The sequence below is a fragment of the Homo sapiens genome, chromosome 4, assembly GCF_000001405.40.
Source record: "Homo sapiens chromosome 4, GRCh38.p14 Primary Assembly".
Classification (NCBI taxonomy): Eukaryota; Metazoa; Chordata; class Mammalia; order Primates; family Hominidae; genus Homo; species Homo sapiens.
In genome coordinates this window covers 185,574,662-185,594,583 of record NC_000004.12, presented here as the reverse complement: position 1 = coordinate 185,594,583, position 19,922 = coordinate 185,574,662, and the positions used below count along the sequence as shown (strand labels likewise).

The 19,922-nt window shown below is 41.1% G+C and overlaps 1 protein-coding gene and 1 long non-coding RNA gene across 43 annotated transcripts in view, besides 2 other annotated features; one reads left to right on the top strand and one right to left on the bottom strand.

Moving 5' to 3' along the window:
* Positions 1 to 9,061, top strand: part of SORBS2 (sorbin and SH3 domain containing 2) — a 370,850-nt gene extending 361,789 nt beyond the window's left edge. For all 42 annotated transcript variants that reach the window (NM_001394255.1, NM_001394267.1, NM_001394264.1 and 39 more), the window contains 3 exons: positions 649 to 698; positions 4,799 to 4,905; positions 6,896 to 9,061. In NM_001394255.1, coding sequence (NP_001381184.1) covers positions 649 to 698; positions 4,799 to 4,905; positions 6,896 to 6,957 — 219 coding nt within the window. In that variant the 3' untranslated portion in view covers positions 6,958 to 9,061. The remainder of the gene's footprint in view (positions 1 to 648; positions 699 to 4,798; positions 4,906 to 6,895) is intronic.
* On the bottom strand, positions 581 to 6,659 carry SORBS2-AS1 (SORBS2 antisense RNA 1). Its single transcript, NR_186082.1, has 4 exons — positions 6,394 to 6,659; positions 5,355 to 5,430; positions 2,508 to 2,679; positions 581 to 1,839 (listed from the first exon to the last, which is right to left on the bottom strand). It is a non-coding gene; the product is annotated as an SORBS2 antisense RNA 1 (long non-coding RNA).
* Positions 6,363 to 7,562: an enhancer, noted in NCBI's record as "BRD4-independent group 4 enhancer chr4:186508176-186509375 (GRCh37/hg19 assembly coordinates)". NCBI's record gives its function as "activates an origin of replication core promoter dependent on BRD2, P300/CBP, MED14 and CDK7 cofactors, and independent of BRD4, by STARR-seq in HCT116 cells {active_cell/tissue: HCT116}" and the evidence as "EXISTENCE:reporter gene assay evidence [ECO:0000049][PMID:35650434]".
* Positions 7,005 to 7,084: an enhancer, noted in NCBI's record as "active region_22265". NCBI's record gives its function as "activates an Ori minimal core promoter by ATAC-STARR-seq in GM12878 lymphoblastoid cells {active_cell/tissue: GM12878}" and the evidence as "EXISTENCE:reporter gene assay evidence [ECO:0000049][PMID:35858748]".

The window sequence follows — 19,922 nt, the reverse complement described above, 5'->3', positions numbered from 1 at the left end:
ACCAATGTTTCTCTTCTAAGGTAAAATGTTACATGTTACCCGGATATTGTTCGTTGCATTCCAAAGTTCTGTTTTCTCTTTTTAAAAATGCATGTTTTCTCTCCACATTGAGAACAGAAAATGTTAATTCAAATGTAGCATGGGATGTCTGCCTATTGATATTTTCCTCTGTGCTGTATGTGAAAATGTTGTCTGTGAAGGAAAGATTGAAAGAATGAGTGTGGATACTTTGCTGTTAAACTAAATGTGGTTTATTTTCTGCTTGTTTGAGAAAACGCTGGAGAATAAGGTTGTATGAAGGTGTCTATATTTCCTATTCTAGTGGTTTGCCGTCTATGTTCTTGCCTTATTCCTGGCCTTTGAAAAATCAATGGGACCAAACCCTGACTTTTCCTTAAAGCTTGAGCAGACTAGATTGTAGACATGTTCAAAACATTTGACCTTGCTTATTTTGCTTTAATTTAAAGCTCCCTTTAAATATTTTAATTATTAATCCTGCAGAAAGCTTTTATTTGGTTTTTTTCTTCCTCTTGGTTTTTTACAACAGGAAATATTAAATGTCAAGAAAAGTACCATGCCATTATCCAAATTATCTTTTAATTAGTACCAGTTTAAACATTGATTACATTGAAAATCATTTCATTTCAGCCACAGCGTCCTGTGTTTACTCATGAAAATATTCAAGGTGGGGGGGAACCGTAAGTATTCTTCTTATCTTCTAAATTTGAGACTAACCTTGACCCACAAAATGGACAACTGTACCAAAATGTAAGATGTATGGCTTTGCACGTGAAAGATCAAACTAACATGAGGCCTCTTAAATTACGAGAAATTGTAATAGTCTCTCCATCTTTTATGACAGTGACCAGAAACTAATTTTTAAAAGAACCCATAGTTCTCTGAGAAGATTTTAATTGACACACTAGGAAAACTTCCCAATGCTTCAGTGATTCCTAAGATGGATAACTCTGTCTCCCTCTCTGCTCTGCTGGCTGTGTAACGAGTAACTGCGAGCTTCAAAGACATACAGAACATGTTCTAACCTTACTTTTACACCCACTGGGAGACGGTAAAAGTGGACCTCAGTGTAAAAAAGACCTAAAGCGATCATTCCATCATTCCAAAGTTACATGCTTAGAAGGGTCATTTGAAAAGGGCAGTATTAAAACACTCACTGTTATTCAGTTACATGCGATTACTTCCACAGCACCAGGAAAATGCCTTTTCAAACTTTCCTTTCAAATTCCTTCTCCTTTCTGATACATGAGTTAAATCAGCCTGAAGGTGTCACACGTTGTCTTGAAGATTCTCTCTGTGTGTTTCTTTTTCGGGCCCATTTTGTCCCTGAGAGACGTTCAGGAGTTATCAGCTTCCTGTTGGCCTCTGCCCACACTGTGAGTCGAGAGTGAGACCCCTGGGAAGGCTTATTCATGGACCTAACCCCTTGTCCCCCATATCTGAGCACACACTGGGGATCCTGACCCACTGCCCACACTCTGCTCACCTGGAGCAGAACAGGCTAACAATAGCCTCCTCCTTGCGGCAGGTCCTGGCATATGACCTGGTGCCTTTATCACCATCAAGTCCTTCCTTGCTCCTCACAGACCTGAAACTTAGCAAAAAGCAGCTCCGGATGAGACTGGCTCTCACAGAGCACAGGCAGAAAAGTGTTCTTGTTGCGGGAAAGTCTGTATTTTGGAAAGAACAGGTTAGCAGTGATAATCATTTGAAATCTCACTGAAGGTTAGGTGCAGTCACTATGCCTGAAATCCCAGCACTTTGGAAGGCCAAAACCCAGGAGTTCAAGACCAGCCTGGACAACATAGCAAAACACCATCTCTACAAAAATAAAAATAAAAAATTAGTCAGGTGTGATGGCATGCGCCTGTAGTCCCAGCTGCTTAGTAGGCTGAGGTGGGAAGATCACTTGGGCCAGGGAGATCAAGGCTACAATAAGCCATGATGATGGCCCTGCACTCCAGCCTGGGCAACAGAGCAAGACCCTGTCTCAAACAAACAAACAAACAAAAAGATCGCTTAACTGGAAAACACTAAATACGACTTGTCATTCTAAAGCTTTTGTTTGTTCTCTTATTTACCCAAACGATGATAAGATCACATGATAAAAAATAAATTCCAGGGCTGTTTAGGTTTATTGCATTACCAACATGTTATATTAAACAGCTTTCAAAGTGTTTATGAATGAAAGATATGTTACATTTTCAAAGTCCTGATTTGTATATTAGAAAACATTGTTTATTAAATTTATATTTGATTATAGCCTGAATTAGTGGGATTTTAGGGTGTTGCTTAGTTGCTTTCATTTAAAAATAAGTTTTGAGCCAAAGTAGGAACATAATGTTATGTCACTACAATTCAGAGTTTTAGTGAAATATGTTCTAGAAAAAGTTGCAAGTTATCGAGAGGGCTTCCAGTCTGGCTCAGCATTTCCTGTTTAAAAGACACCTTTCTTTTTGAGGCATCCTTACCCCACCACCATCACTCACCTCACCAACACATCTTTCACAACAGCATTTTTTAACATTGGATTTGTCTTCATTTCCCATTGTGCAACACTGGCTTTGAAAGCCAGGAGAGGCAGGAGGATTTCCTGAAGGTGTGTTTACGTTTCCATAAAACTCCGTGGGTTTTCTTTTGTTTTGTTTTTGTTTCTGTGGTCTAATTAAACCAGAATGGTAAATAAATTTGGACAAACATGCTGGCTTTCATCAGACAAAAATGAAGCAGGAGTCTGTGCCAATTTTGTTGCGTTAGCTCTGAGACCTTGAGATTCTTTCCAGCAGCTGAGGTTTGCAGCCTTAGGTAACCGGTCTCCATGAGTGGGTGGAGATGAGCCTGGGCAGGGTTCAAGCCTGAGAAGCTCAATAAAAGAATCAGTTTTCCCAAAGTGAGAAATGCCGTGTGTATCCATCAAAACAGCAGCCCAGGAACCACCATCTCTCTCAAATGTGAAACTGGAAAAGGGACCGTGAACTTTCCCCACAGATACACAAAAGATACCACCCCTTCACCTGAGCAGCCTCCAAATCAAATTCTTTACACAAGCAACAAAATAAATGGACTACCCCTAGCAAAGCTGGCCACATGCAAACATCCAAATCAGGTGACGTTTCTGTATTCCACACCTGCCTGTCTTTTTGGCCACTACTCTGGGATGCTAGCTGCCTTTCTCTGCCCTTCCCCATAATCACAAACCCCTCTCTCAAGAAAAGGCCTCAGAAGCCCATGCTCAAAAGGATATAAGTGGCTGTAAGGTCTACTGGAAGGATGAAGTTTTAACAGGAGAAGAAGCCTCTAATGTTGAAATTTCAGGCTTTGGTGCCAGGCCAGGGAAAACAATATTTTCTAGGGGATGTTGTTAGGCATTCTCTGAAGCCAACTCTATCCAGCTCCCCCAGTCCAAATGCTGGATGAACGGGGGGAAGCCAGTAGGTCACTGTTGCTTATTAATGACATAAGATTTGAGTTTAAATGATAGAATAGTTTTGTTCTACCAAAATATTATTTTCTGACTCATAAAGTAATTAAAAATAAATCATTCTTGTTCCGGAGCGGTAGTCAAGATTATCAACTTTTTTAAGTTGGCATGAAAAAATCTAAAATACCCTAGAAAGTGGTAATTATTTTCTCACATTAGCAGAATGACATGACTGTTACAGAAAGCAGCAGAAACAAATTCCCAATTTTTAAAAACCCCCTCACAGTACTGGTAATATTTTAGTACTATTATGAAGAAGTTTTCATGTTAACTGCCTATCAAATTCTTCTTGACCTTCTCAGCTACAGTAATTTCGCCTTCATTTTCCAAAAACACCAGCCCATGTTACTATTTATTATAATGTATGGTGTTTTCTTACCACAAATTCAGTGTCTGAATTCATTATTGATCAATTTCCACCACAGTATATGCTGTCAAAGAATTCAGGCCGGGAAAGGAAAGTGATAGCATTCTATCAATAATTCTTTTTTATATAAAATTATTTCAAGAGAGAGTTTTAAAATCAAATACAATTTTTCTGGGACTCATTTTAAAAAGAGACTTATGTCCATAGTCTGCTTGAAATGGAATCAGTAATAACTGCACATAGAATACATCTACTCAACTTCATAGGCTAATTACATCAAATCTTCCAATTCTACATCCTCAGAAAACACTGATCCAAACCATAACATTAAACTGATCTAAAGAATTCCTCTTAGTAAAAAAAATAATTTTCCTTTGTATAGTAATTCACACAGAGTGATTAAAAAGACATGTCTGACACATTTTGTCTATCTCCATTTAGAACCTTTGAAAATTCAATTCTCAAGCCCCCATTATTTGCTTCTGATTATGGCTAGCTAAAATTGTGATTCCTTCTTGTTTTTAAACAGTTAAATAATACAAATATCACTTATTTTATATTTTGTACTATTATTTAATGTCTAAATGATAGACGTTAGATGGCTGGACAACTGAAATGCGGGTCTGACTTATACATGTTGACATATTTTAATCCAATTTATGAATGTTACAATTTTCATGGATATTCCTCGTGAGTTTCAAAATGTTGTTAGAGTGTTCTAATGCCTGTGAAGATCTACATATTGCTATGTACCTGCTTACCAGGCTTGTACCATCCAATAGAATGCTATTTACATGCTTACCAGGCTTGTACCACCCAACAGAATGTTGTTAAGAATAGGAATGTTAAAGGAAGAATGAATATTGTTCTATCTTCTATATTTCATGAAGGTGTCAAGATGTTTTTAAACACATTCCCTTGTCCTGTTTAAGGTTTCAGGCTCTGTATAACTATACTCCCAGGAATGAAGATGAGCTGGAGCTCAGAGAAAGTGATGTCATTGATGTCATGGAAAAGTGTGATGACGGCTGGTTTGTGGGTATGTGCGCTTCTTCCTCAGGCACCTTCGGCTATTTTGTAATTTGCTTGAGTTTGCTCACTCCCGTGGTTTGCTGTGATGGCCGAGCTTCCTTTGAATTCGTAATGCCTTTGATCTTTCAGACATTCATATGCACAATGTAATCCCAAGGCTATTGCATTTTTAATATAGTTTAGTATTCACTGCTTCAGCTATGTGTGATTTTCTGCGAGCTTTATTTCCAACTCAACTGAGAGAAGACAATTTCTTTAAATAGCAAAAACCAGGAAAGATTGAGATCTAAGAACAACAACAACAAATGGTCCCCAGAAGAGAAATATCAACGCTCTGTGCTGTGGAAAATGTTAGTTGTCCACAGTGAGAATCTAATTTCAGAGGGAGTGAGATTAAGTGAACAGCTCTCCCGTTTCCTAGGTCTGACGTAGATGCCCGAACATTCAGTGACTCACCTTAACTTTAGTTTGTGGTGGAAGCAGAGAGACGTTCCATTCTTCCCACTTAAAAGGCAACTTCATCTTTACCATCCTAAAAAAAAAGACGAGAGGTCTTCTGGGAAAACATTTGTAGACAAAAGTATTTTACACTGGGCCACAGAAAGAGGTGAAAAGGAAACACAGGCTGCAGGGCAGAGAATGGAAGAGAGGAAAGGTGAGAGGAGAGGAGGGCTCACTCTAGACATCCATCGGTGGCAAAATCATGAAAGAATTGAGGCCCTGGTGCGGCCACAAGCCTCTGATTTTATTTCCATTAAAAGAAGAAAAAAAGGCCGGGTGCGGTGGCTCATGCCTGTAATTCTAGCACTTTGGGAGGCCGAGGCGGGTGGATTACCTGAGGCCAGGAGTTCGAGGCCAGCCTGGTCAACATGGTGAAACCCCGTATCTACCAAAAGTACAATAATCAGCTGGGCTTGGTGGCAGGTGCCTGTAATCCCAGCCACTCAGGAGGCTAAGGCAGGAGAATTGCTTGAACCCAAGAGGCAGAGGTTGCAGTGAGCCGAGATCATGCCACTGCACTCCAGCCTGGGCGACAAGAGCGAAACTCCATCTCAAAAACAAGGAGGAGGAGGAGGAGGGAGGAGGAGGAGGGAGGAGAAACGTAAAATGGCTTGCCTAGCCAAGGAAAAAGAAAAACAGCCATCAAACCAAGGCAGTAAGTGCCAGGATATAGGAGACAGATGAAGCTTGAGAGACCCTTATCCGGTCCATCTGCGCTGCCTAAAGAAGAATTTAGCAATTTAGTGCACCAACTTTTACAAGAAGTGTCCAAGGAATTACATTATTTGAAACCAGAGGCGAACATAATTATGATAGCCATTTGTGCGTGTGGTTAAACACACACCATGTTAAAAATCATGCCACTGATAGAACTCCCACACACAAATAGTGCTTAATCCTTTTTTTCATTAATGATTTGTAAATTGTTGAAAAATTGTATACTCGATGAAGGACTCTGGCAGTGCTGTTTTTAAATAAATGATGTGGCACTGACCATGATCTTCTGTAAGATGATAAAACTGTTGGAACAGCGACAGCCTGCCACAGATGATGTCTTCATGTCGCACCTGTGTTGCGCGGGTTGCTGGTCCCTGAGAAGCTTTGCTCTTAGGATTTTCCACTCACCCTGTCACCTGTCAGCCTCGCCTTGATCCCTCACCCCCGACTCTGGTGTGGCAGCCTCAGTGACTGAGCTCCTCCGCCCCCCTCCTCAGCAGGGCTGACTTTCCCTTTAGCTTGGGAGGCTCAGCATTTCTGTTTAGCCTGCCGCGATGGCAGCGCAGCATTTATGCCGGAGGGGCAGTGAGAGCGTCAGGCAACCAGCTAACACTGCTTATTTTGTCTGCCTATGGGCTTCATGTGAGTTGCCTGCCTTCTTTTCCAAACCCCTCGGGGCTTGCTGTCTTCCGAGGCCTTGTAAATGGGAAGTATTCAAGCCCATGTGTATGAACTGATATCGTTGTCACCCCCCTTTCATGACTCGCTTCTATTTTCAGGGACCTCAAGAAGAACCAAATTCTTTGGTACTTTCCCCGGAAACTACGTCAAGAGGCTGTGAATTGCGCTCCCTCCTTCTGTAGAGGCCGCCTGCCAGCCATGCACCTGCGTCAACGCGCCTGAAACACCCCGCGGGCCTCCCGTTGTCATGCCTTACGGTTTCCAATGCGCCGTCACCATCTCCACCTGCCACCAAACCACCAGCAGAGTAGCCGCCGCTGCTGTGAGCCTGGGGACGACATGGCAGGCTGGTCCCCCTCCGTGAAAGTGTGGATTCCTACTTCCTGCTCTAAGCTTTGACACGTCAAAATGTGGGATCAGAAAGAAAAAAATCATGATATTTAAAAATGGTCAAATATTTGAGGCAAAAAAAAAAAAAAAAAGTGTCTCCAGGAGGCTGTCCAGCCTCGTGGCTCCATTTCAACATCTCCCCCCAGGCGATGTTCTCCCCCAAGACGACCAGAAAATTGTTTATTGGGGAATGCTGTGGTTTGCATTTTCATATTCTTCGCTTGGCAGTGTGTATTCTTTTCACAAGTTTGCCTAGTGTCTTGGTTTACACAATATGACAACTGTAACTGTACTTTAGCTATTGTTTGCCTGCACATACATGTTGTAATATGCACAGTGATTACAACCTTTAAAGCAAGAGGAGGCGAGTTAATTTGGATGAGTGTGATTTTGCTGATTGAATGTGAGTTTTCAAATAGGAGTCTTTTTCTGCAATTTGTTTGCATTTTTTAGAAGTGCAAACAGTAAGTAAATAAAAGCCTTCGGTAATAATCATGACAATACAAGAGGCTGAGCTAGGCTACAGGGGAAAACTATTGTGTTGTAAAGTTGCATCGCTATTTTATATTAAAATGTAATGATCAGCATCATGAACAATGAGCTCTTAGTGTTTTATTTATCTGAAAAAATGTAAGTAAAAGCAGTGTTAGTGAGAGGTGCAAAGAATTATTCTAACAGACACCTGAAAGTATCTGTAAGCAATACTAGTAGGTAAGATTTCACTGTGTGTACACATACACATTTGAGATTGTATGAGAACATATAATCCATATGATATGTTGTACATTTTATGGAAATGTAATAGAATCTCACACATTATTTTATAGAAATAGAGTACAGAAGCATCACAAGTATTAAAGTTGGTTTTAGCAAGGATTAGGATTACTACAATTATTTTTACTATAATAATTATTTTTCTTCTATGGAACTCAGAATCCTGGCTACATTTGAGGACAGGAATATGTTGAGCCTGATTTTCCTGGTGTGTGTAAAATATTTCCTAGGAATAAATTAGGCACTTTTTAGAAGCAATGTTAAATCATTCAGGTTTTATTTTCTGCCCTGAAGCAGAAATTTAAAAAATGATATTGGGACCTGGAAGGTTTAATATGGTTCACAGTGCCTGAATTACACCTGCTCCGAAAACTAGCTTTGTATTTCTTATGACTTTGCATAAGAACTGTTCATCTTTGGATCTTGAGCACCTTACAGATAAAACTTTTTATGGCATCTCTTTCATGGACAGTGATATTGATCTTTTCACAATGTACGTAGCCTCTAGAATTTTGTACATATGTTTGCTCTTTTTTTGTACAGACTAGTTGTTGAGAAAACAGGGGCGTTTCCTAATTTGGTCTTTATCCTGCGACAACACTTTCAGCAGACTAGCCTCTCCTTATCTCACAGATCACAAGCACCCCTAGATAGTGTGATTCTGTCAGATAGCATTTATGCAAAAATCTATGAAGTTAAAAGATCGTAGAAGCCAAATGAAATGTACATATCTACTGACTGATGACAAGGGAATTTCATTAGGAAGAAGGTAAAGAAACATCGTTGAGTAGCCTACCTTGATTTCTGTCAAGTTCATAACCAGCTTCATATTTTAAAGGCTTCAGGTTTGAAATTAAGTCAACTGCATGCAGCTTTGCTGATAAATGAATAATTCTCTTTGATGCCATTTATGAGAAAAGACTTCAATATCTGTTGCCTGTCATATTTAAGAAAAATTACTGTTTCTACTCTCTGTATCTGATTTTAAAAGAAAAAACTATTCATACCTGGCTTCCAGGTAATTGACTTTGAATTCTTACAAGCAAAGGTCATTGTGTTTTTCTTGAATAGACATCTAATAAATTTTGCTTGGAAGTATACTTCAGTTTTTCTTCTTGACATTTATCTTTATAAAAATTGTGTATTTTATTCCAACTTGTTAAACTAAGAGAAAATGCATTTTGTTGTGTGTTCTTTTAACACAAACATGGAGAAAAGCTGTGTCAGCATCAGCTCAGAGAAGAAATATTTTTAAACCCACCACCAAAGCTCATTTGCTAAACGTTCTTTGGCTAAAAATTGCCCTTCAGTTAAAACAATACATTGTAAAATATTTCTGCCTCAAAACAGCTAGTTTTCCAAGGAGGGGTTAGTTACAAGGAGTTGTAAGCACTTTCCCAGTTCAACACTCTGAAATTTTAAAATCTTTGCCCTAAGCAGCTTCAGCACCATTGGCTCGGCAGCTTCTGCAAATGTCCACAGGCTTTCAGTGAATTTCAAATGATGGGTGGCGGTGGGGTCCCCGCTTTCTGCCACACAAATGGGAAAGAGCCAGCTTGCCTGCTTGGATCTTTTCTCATATACCTTAGTCCCTTCTTGCTCTATGTGTTTTGACCCTTTTCCATATCTATCTCTTAAATATTCAGAAATACGGACATTCCTCTTTTGCCAACTCGGTTATCAAAGATGTCTTGTCACGTTGCTTCCCCTTAACACCCACTCTGGTGCCTTCTATGCCATAGGATAATTCCCACTCTATATTAGCATTCTGCTAAAATGTAATCCCTTTGGGTGAAGAATATACCCCATAATAGTCTTTTGGTCTTGTTTTCATCTGAGTGTGTAAGGGTCATATAACTAGATCCATCTGACCTGTCCATCCAGGTGGGTGGAAGGGCGGAAGGAAGGGACCCTCTGATACTTACATGCCAGATCTTCATCCCTCCTTTAGCTGCATCATCACTAAAGACAAGCAAGTCCTTTTCTTACTTGATTCGATGCAGAAATAACCTATTTGAGTAACTTTTCACAATCATCCACTGCCTGATCTCTCATAGTAGGTGGTTGGTTTGTGTGGCCTGATCATTTCTTCCTGCTGTTTTCCAGATTTTAGCCACAAAGAAAGATATTATTTAAAGAATTATCTGATCACGGCCGGGTGCAGTGGCTTATGCCTGTAATCCCAGCACTTTGGGAGGCCGAGGCGGGCAGATCACCTGAGGTGGGGAGTTCGAGGCCAGCCTAACTAATATGGTGAAACCTGGTCTCTACTAAAAATACGAAAATTAGCTGGGCATGGTGGCGCGCGCCTGTAATGCCAGATACTCAGGAGGCCGAGGCAGGAGAATCGCTTGAACCCAGGAAGCAGAGGTTGCAGTGAGCTGAGATCACGTCATTGCACTCCAGCCTGGGCAACAGAGAGAGACCCTGTCTCAAAAAAAAAAAAAAAAAAAAAAAAGCCACACACAATTATTTGATCAAATAAGACTAAGTATCCTGTCAGCTTCCAGTGCCTGTTTATTTAATTAATTATTTCATCCCCCTCTGCAGATGGTAGCTCTCTAACAGTTCATTCATCACTTATGATTTCAGATTATTTACTCACCATTAATGATTACAGTTAGAATACAAGCAGAGATTGGTGCTATTAATAAGCTGTCCATAGCAGAGATTTCCAAACTGTGGCCTGTGGACAAAATTCAGCTCACGGCCTGCTCCTGCATGGCCTGCAAATTAAGAATGGTTTGTACAGATGAACACTGGCAATCCCCTTGATAAGAGGGAACTCTAACTTTGAACCTCAGTTAAGTAAAACGCTATCTCCCCAGAAAAGGGTTCTTTTCTTTTCATTAGTAGATCTATGTTAGAAAAAAAACTGTGCTCTATTTGTATTATTATATTCCTAAATCAGTAACAATTGGTGGAAATGTGTTTTCTCTTTATTATGTAAGAAAGAACGTACATAATATCCTTAATTTTGCCTCCTAGCTCACAAAACCTAGAGCATTTACTCTCTGTTTCTTTAGAGGAAACGTTTGTGAACGCTTGCCTGTGCCGATTGGTAGCAACACACCTGGAAACTGGAAACTGACCCGAGGGAAAGAAATAGCGAACACCTGCTGTACACCAGGCTGTTCCTCACATGCGTTCCTTATCTTTATGCTCACAAGAAATCTGACAGGAAGTCTGCTTTGTGCCCATTTTAGAGATGAGGGAGCTGAGGCTCTGGGAAGTTAAATAACTTATCCAGACATGTAAGGTATTATACATAATATTTGATTGAAATCGGATTGAGAATCTCACGTGTCTATCTCCCAAGCCTGTCATCTTTCTTCCAAACCATGTAAGCTTGGTGCTAAACACATTGTGGATGAAGCTGTGCACTCAGGGTTGAGCAGCTGCACCCATCCACCTCCTTCCCTCTCCACCATTCTCACAAGCAGGGCTGACATGAACAGACACCCCCTCATAGCAGCATCTTACTGTGCACAGGATGAAGAGAAAGAGGTGTACCCATCAGCACAAATTGTTTCCCTGAAGAAAGCTGAGTTTGGTTTCTAAAAGGACACTAACCAGTGAGAATATACTTTCAATGACTGACATGTTTTGACTGAGCACAAGCCTGTCTGTGAGTTGAATCAATGGGAGACAGGCGAGCCCAGCGTGCTCTAGGAATGCTGCGTGCTTGCCGGACAGCTCTTAAGCATACAAAGCCCCAAGATACACCAGCCATTTTCTGCTGGATGACTCTAAGTGACCTGAGCCTGAGCTCACTGCTAAATTCAGCCCCTCCACAGGTCAGGACAGTTCCATCTGAGCTCATGCACATGCATATAATCTTGACCCAAAAAACGTTCAGTACAAGACAGAAATCTGCCTAGTAAATCTTCACCTGTTCATTTGGGGTTTCTTGTTTCATTCTTTCCCCTAAAATACTATGGGTGACTCAGTTGTCCCTGTGTCTTCCAAAAATAAGTGTCATTTCCAATACAACTCTTGTTACCATTAACAACACCAGGGGGTACGTGCTGAATCTTGCACTGATTTCACAGGGAGCTTGAGAATAATTTTTTCAAGCATTTTTTTTCTTTTTCAATTCCACAAGCAATAGATGCTTATTGTAGGAAAAATTAAAAAGCTATAAAGGAACAAAAAGAAGAAACAGGTTCACTAAGAGTTCCATGTAGGGTATGGATTTGAGTGTGGAACATATTCTCCTGAGTGTTTCTCTATACATGTGGATTTGTTGGGGGCAGTGGGCAGTGTAGGGAAAAATGGGATCACACTGAACATACTGGGTAGTTTTTTGTTTTTTTTTTTCAGCGTCTCACTCTGTCACCCAGGCTGGAGTGCAGGGGTGCGATTTCGGCTCACTGCAACCTCCGACTCCAAGGTTCAAGCGATTCTCCTGCCTCAACCTCCCAAGTAGCTGGGATTACAGGTAAAAGCCACTGCGCCCAGCTAATTTCTGTATTGCTAGTAGAGACAGGGTTTCTCCATGTTGGCCAGGCTGCTCTTGAACTCCTGACGTCAGGTGATCCAACCGCCTTGGCCTCCCAAAGTGCTGGGATTGCAGGCATGAGCCACTGCGCCTGGCCTGAACATACTGTTTTATAATCTGCACTTACCTTTGAGCAGGACTCTGAAATAAAGTGAATAAATCATGTTTTCAAGTCAATTTGACATTAGCGAGGTCTATGAAAAAAAGGAGAAAAAGTCTAAGTCAATCCTCAGGATTCATGAAAATACAATGAACTCAAAACCTCAAAGCAAGAATTACAAAATTACCACCAGGTTAGAAAATCTATTGTAATCTGAGGAATTGGTAGAGGAAGGAAAGGCGAAATGAAGAGAGAAAAGAAAATAATACTTATAATCTTCCTACTATAGGCCATCACAGGTTTTAAAAGCACCTGTACAGTGAAGGGATGGCTAAAGGAAGAGAGAGATTAAACTGAGAAATGAATGTGTGGATTGCAGTTGGATGTAACATCCAAACCATCCTGGAGGTTTGTTTCAATTTTTTGAATCAAAATTGATGGAACAGATCATTTACTTTGAAATTAGACATAGTTCAAAAAAGTTAGATTGAACATATTTTTATAATGTACTAGCGCAGGGCTTCTTCCCTGTGGGTGACTTTGTCACTCCTCCAGGGGACATTTGGCAATATACAAGCACTTCTCAGGGGTGCTACTGGTATCTAGTGCATAGAGACCAGAGACACTGCTGGACCCACAATACACAGGCCAGCCCTCACAACTAAGAATTATCCAGCCCAAATTGCCTATAGTGTTGAGGTCAGAAGCCCTGCCCTAGGGTAACTCATACTACTTAGGAGAATCATCTTGTAAATCATTGTAAAGGATTTTTTTTTTAATCCGGAATTAAAAGGCTGAGAGTCACAGTCCTAATGGTCTCATCTTCTGCCCTATGACTGTCAGATCTAGGCCCTTTGTAGAAAGCAGTTTCTCCTCCCAAACTCTGGAGATAAAGCCAGAATGCACCTAGGAAGGAGTCAAACAATCCCTGAGGTGGACTGAAGCACAAGGTAGACGAGTGCCTAGAGATAAACAAGGATCTCTGTAGAATGTCTCTGGGCAAAGCAGTCATTGTAAAAATATCTCTACTGAGGCTCAGATCAGCCCAGAGCAGGGAGGCCATTCCCTCCCGGATGATCTCAGAGGCGATGATGTCATCAGCAAAAGCCAGGTGTGTGAAGCAAAGCAAGCTCAGTTATTAGTGAGCTGTCGCAGGCCACGTGGGTAGGGTAGAAAGATTCCTTTGCTTTCCAGAAGGTACGCAGACTTCAGGGCACCGATGACGAGGCCAGCCTGGGCTCAGAGTGGGAGCCTCGGTGAGGCTGCGCCATCAGGCTTTGCTCGGGGAATCCCATTGTGCCCTCTAATCACCCACATCGTCTGCAATGTGAGTGATGCCCATGTCCCTAGTGAAGAAAAGATGGGCGTATTCTCATCTCTAGTCCATACTAATAGTAACCATGTGTTTAAACACAAAACCAGGGGTCAGTCCTTGTTAGGGGCTGAATTGTGTCCCCATCCCCTTAAGTTCATACATTGAGTTCTAAACCCCAGAACCTCAGAATGTATTTGGAATAGGGCATTTAAAAAGGTAATTAAGGTAAAATGAGGTCATCTGAGTGGGCTCTAATCTAATATAACTGGAATCCTTATAAAAAGAAGTGATTGGGCCAGGCGCAGTGGCTCATGCCTGTAATTCCAGCACTTTGGGAGGCTGAGGCGGGCGGATCACGAGGTCAGGAGATCAAGACCATCCCGGCTAAGGCGGTGAAACCCCGTCTCTACTAAAAATACAAAAATTAGCTGGGCGTGGTGGCGGGTGCCTGTAGTCCTAGCTATTCAGGAGGCTGAGGCAGGGGAATCTCTTGAACCCAGGAGATGGAGCTTGCAATGAACCAAGATTGTGCCACTGCACTCCAGCCTGGGCGACAGAGCAAGACTCCGTCTCAAAAAAAAAAACAGAAGAAGAAGAAGAAGAAGTGATTAGGACACAGAAGTGTACAGAGGGAACCATGTGAAGACACAAAGAAAGCAGCCATCTATACCTAAGGAGAGAGGCTTCCCATACACCAACCCTGCGATACCTTGAACTCCAATTCCTAGCCTCCAGAACAGGAAGAAAATAAATGTCCATCGTTTGAGCCCCCCAGTCTCTGGTACCTGGTTATGGCAGCCCACGCAGACTAGTACAGGCCTTCTCTCAGGGACACTCGCTTCCACCCACTTCTCTGCTCCCTGGTTCCTAGTGGATGATCAATGCAGAGGATCTATCTTGTTCCAGAGGGTGACAACTGAAATGCCCCCTTCCCCCAGCTCCATACTCAATTTGGGATTTGCATAAAAACAAGATATAATAGGTGATAACTGTTGAGTAGTTCAGCTTATAGCTTCACAAAGACACCCCTTCCCTACACACACACAGACACACAGAGAGCACCCTAGCCAAAACAGTCAGTGGTATATTCAGTAATGCAGGAAAAAATTATATGTTCCCAGGGCGTAAATATTTAGCAATCTCTTTTCACTCATTGTTCATTATGCACACACTTGGATAGACTAGGAATCTACCATTAATCTACCCTGCTGCAGAAGCTCTATCTGAGTCAGAGGGATAGCAATGGCCCTCTACAAGGTAAGGAATCCCTAACTCTGATCTTAACTTTCCCTACTGCCTCTCATGTCTGCAGGTGGCTTATAAACAGCAGACATTTATCTCTCACAATTCTGGAGGCTGTGAAGTCCAAGATCAAGGCACGAGCAGATTTGATGCCTGGTGAGAACCCACTTCCTCAGAGAAAGCCTTCTTCTTGGCTGCATGTGGTAGCTCACATCTGTAATCCAAGCACTTTGGGAGGCCAAGGCAGGAGGATCACTTGAGCTCAGGAGTTCAAAAGCAGCCTAGGCAAAACAGTGAGACCATCTCCACTAAAAAATAAAAATAAAAATAAATCAGCCAGGCATAATGACACATACCTGTAGTCCCAGCTACTCAGGAGCCTGAGGCAGGAGAATTGCTTGAGCCCAGGAGGTCTAGGGTGCAGTGAGCTATGATCATGCCACTGCACTCCAGCCCAGGTGACACTGAGCAAGACCCTGTCTCATAAAATAAAAAATAATTTAAAAAAAGAATAGAAAGAAAAGAGCCTTCTTTTTCTGTGTTCTCACATGGTAGAAAGAGAAGGGAACTCTCTGGAACCTCTTTCATAAGGGCACTAACCCCATTCATGAGGGCCTTGCTCTCATAACACAATCACCTCCCAAAGACCCCACATCCCAATAGCAGCACTGTGGGGACCAGGATTTAACAAATGAATTGGAGGGGACACAAATACTTGGTCCATAGCCTTGCAAGGGCTGCTTCCATGGGGGCAACACCCTCAATAAAAGGCACAGCACGTTTCCAAGTTATAATTGCACAACTTGGAAAGTGAGCTGAAGAGGCAAAAAAGAAACAAGAAATGGATATCTAGAGCTCTCAGAGGATGCCTCAGGCAATCAGACTCTCTCGAGCTCTCTAGCTGGCTCCTGGTTCCATAAGACCAGACTATTTGATCTACCTTGTTTCATCATACGTTCTCAATCATTGGCTTTAAGAAGCCATCTCAAATGCACACTGAGGCTTCAAAGGAACTGTCAGCAGCCTGCGAGTTTTCCTTCCACAAGGGACAGAGGAGACATTGAAACATTCAGTCAACAGTGTTTGCCACTCAGTAAGTAAATACTCATATATGTTGTATGTTAAAATGTTAAAGGAAAATGAAGCCAAGTGTGGTGGTGGTGCCTGCAGTCCCAGCTACTCCAAAGGCTGAGGTAGAAGGATCTCTTGGACTGATGAGTTTGAGACCAGCCTGAGCAACGTAGTAAGATCCTGTCTTTAAAAAGAAAAAAAGTTAATAATATCAGAAGTTATTAATTAGATAATTACGAGATATCAGTGTTCTTTACCAGAGTGCAAGTATAGTTAAGGCCATGATGAAATATAAGCACAAGAATTTATAGATAATACTCATCCCAGAAAAATCTCCTTGGACAAAATACAAGGAACTGGTATACATTTTCTAATGATTCCCTGACAATTCTTTAATCAAACCAAGTGAAATGGGTCTGAAAATTAGATTGTCGGATTACAAATATTAATCATATTAGGTCTATAATGCAATGCCAACCAGTAACACTTTTTTCTGCCCCTCCTCAGTGACATTAGCCCATATTTGAACCAGGGCCACTTTTTTTCTTAACAGAAGAGCTTTGATACAAGGAACAGGATATCAAGATCAAAATTCCGCTCAAGCTTGGCATTCAAAGCGCTCAGACTTGACAATTCCTGACCGAATGCCACCAACATCTCAACTAAAGCCCTCTGGGGGCTGGGACACAAAGCTGTTCACACAGCAAGATATGACTTTGATAATTCCTCTGGGCTCATCTTGGTGACTCTATCTTAATACAGTGTGTTTCATTTAAAACAAAAGAAGTCACACACAAGCATCAAGATATTCTGAACCTGATAGGTACCATAGACCAGACCGGGAGCATGAGACTTGCTCACTTTTTCAATAAGAATGTCCCCCTCAGAGGCTGCTCCTATACAAACTAACCAGTTGTTAGCTTGTCAGAGTTGCTGATAGCACAGGCTTCCCCTTAGAATTACCGGCATTTTCCACCCTAACCCTTCAGCAAAGAAATTTGGTGGCTGGCAGACAGAAATGAGTTGAAACTAGTAAGTCTATCTTTGGCCTGTTCCCTAGGAAAAACACTGATATTATTTGTTCCAAGTATTTATAATGAGGTCTCTAAAATATTTTTTTCCCTCTCTCTCCCTCACTCTTTGTCTCCTTCTCCCTGCTAATGGAGAAATCTCAAAATGTTTATGAACTCTGAGAGCTGAGTGCTGTCCAGGCCTCCCACCCACCCGACATCCTTCCACACACACACTTATGGCTTTGGTCAGCTGTCAGATGATATGACAAAAAGCTTAGCAGACATCTGTTCATGGATTAATGGCCATGGTATTTCTTTCACTATCAAAGATAAATTGCTAGACAGCTGTACTAAAAACCACAGCACAGTTCTCGACACTGGTGATGCACAGACGAGATGACCAATTTTCTAAATGGAGTCACGAAGAACATTCTTATTTCGGGAGCCATTTTTTCCCAGTGAGAAAAGATGGAAAGCAATAACAAGGACTGCTGTGCAAACTTCAAATTCAAAAGGGTCCAAGCTTCCTTTTTGGCTGCTGATAATGACATGTTATTTGAAGATTGTTCTGGCAGTCAGAGTTTACAAAAAGAAAAAGGATCAGAGAGTGAACGCCTTGCTTTGCCAACGCGGCTCCTGTAAATGGTATGAAAAGCGTATTTTCCAAACTCAGACTCAGTTAGGTTCCTAAGGAAGTGGGCCTGTACTCGTGACTTTGGTCAGCTTGTGAAATGATGTAATAAAAGAATATCACATAATATTTATCTGAGGAGTAAATAAGATAAAATATACCAACAGTCCAGCATGTAGTTGGCTCTAAAAGGCTAGTTCCCTGGCCTTTTGGCCTTCGGAAGTCCCCTTTAAGCTGATTCTCACTGGCACCAAGCATGTGAATACCTGTGTTAGGTCCTCTTGGCTGCATTCCCAAGTTTTCTCAGCTAGATGTTTGATGAAGACAGTCAGAATGTGGCATTTATAAATATGTTTAAAATCAATGAGAGATTTCTAAAGCAGATATTATATAAAACAAATATTAGAATCGTTCATCAGTTTTTAAGAAGGAAGTAAGCTCATCAGTTTTTAAGAAGGAAGTGACATAAAAACACAGTTAGGGCCAGGCGCGGTGGCTCACTCCTGTAATCCCAGCACTTTGGGAGGCCAAGGCAGGCAGATCACGAGGTCAGGAGATCAAGACCATCCTGGCCAACATGGTGAAACCCCATCTCTACTAAAAATACAAAAATTAGCTGGGCATGGTGGCACCTGCTTGTAATCCCAGCTACTTGGGAGGCTGAGGCAGGAAAATTACTTGAACCAGCGAGTCGGAGGTTGCAGTGAGCCGAGATGGTGCCACTGCACTCCAGCCTGGCGAGAGAGCAAGACTCCATCTAAAAAAAAAAAAAAAAAAAAAAAAAAAATCTCACACACAGAAGCCACAAATAGAAAAGCAACAGAGCAGAAAACTTGGGTAAAGCACGACCAGCCAGCATTTATTTGGATGGCTCCCTGACAGAGACCAGGCCTGAGGAACCATCCCAGGACGAGAGGTGACAGATACACAACCAGACCAGGAGCCCAGATTCCAGCACTAGACCCTCATATGACCCGTGACACTGAGAAAGTTACTAGCATGGCCCGATGTCAATATCCTTGTTGGTGAAATGAAGAAAATCAACTAATCATCAAGATCTTTCCATTTCTCAACTGTCCATGAAATAATAGTTCAGTAAAAGTAGCAGCAGACTGAATGACAAATTGAATATGGATTTCAAAGAAGCAGAAGGTTTTGAGGCTAGAAATCTGCCTGAGAGATCGTGATGAGGGGCCAGACTGTGAGCTCAGCTTCCCATATAGGCAGGTTCAATATGGAGCTCAGCACATATAGGCAGGTTCAATATGGAGCTCAGCACAAAACAAACGCCATGAAACGATCATTAAAAAAAAAAAAAAAGACAAAGATAAAGATAAAGAAAACATAGAACTATTAAGTACAGGAATAATTATTCAATCCCAGGAACCAAAAGTAAAATCAGTTACAGTTTTTCACCTAGCAAGTTGGCAGCCAATTGAAGATTTGTCTCAGTATAGTGTTAAGAGAATGTAAATTGATAAATCAACTTTAAAATACAAGAAACTACCTACGGTGTATGCTTATTACCTGTGTGACAAAATAATCTGTACACCAAACCCCCAAGACACTCAGTTTACCTATATAACAAACCTGAACATGTACCCATTAACCGAAAATAAAAGTTAAAAAAAAAACTTCAAAATACTGTGTATCCATTGTTCTAGCAATGTCATTTCTATATATTTATTCTAAAAAAAATTCTCAATGTGTTCAAATATTTAGCTGTAAGTTTATGTATTACCATGTTATTCATGACATCAAATAATTATTAGAAATCTAAATATCTAACAACAGGTATTTAGATATATTTATCTAATAAACACATTGTGGCACTTTTTGCTGTGAAATACCATGTAATCACTTAAAAAGGACCTCCTGGAAAAATATTTAATGATGTATAAAGATGTTCACAACACATTGCTAAATTTTTAAAAAAAGTTATAAAACAGTATAATCTCATTTTTGAAGGGAAGAATATCTATTTTTACAGCTATACATATGCACCTAGAACATAGATGTACATGTATGTGTACGTGTGCATGTGTGTGTGCCCCTAGACCAGATGTATTAGGTTGACTCCATGAAATC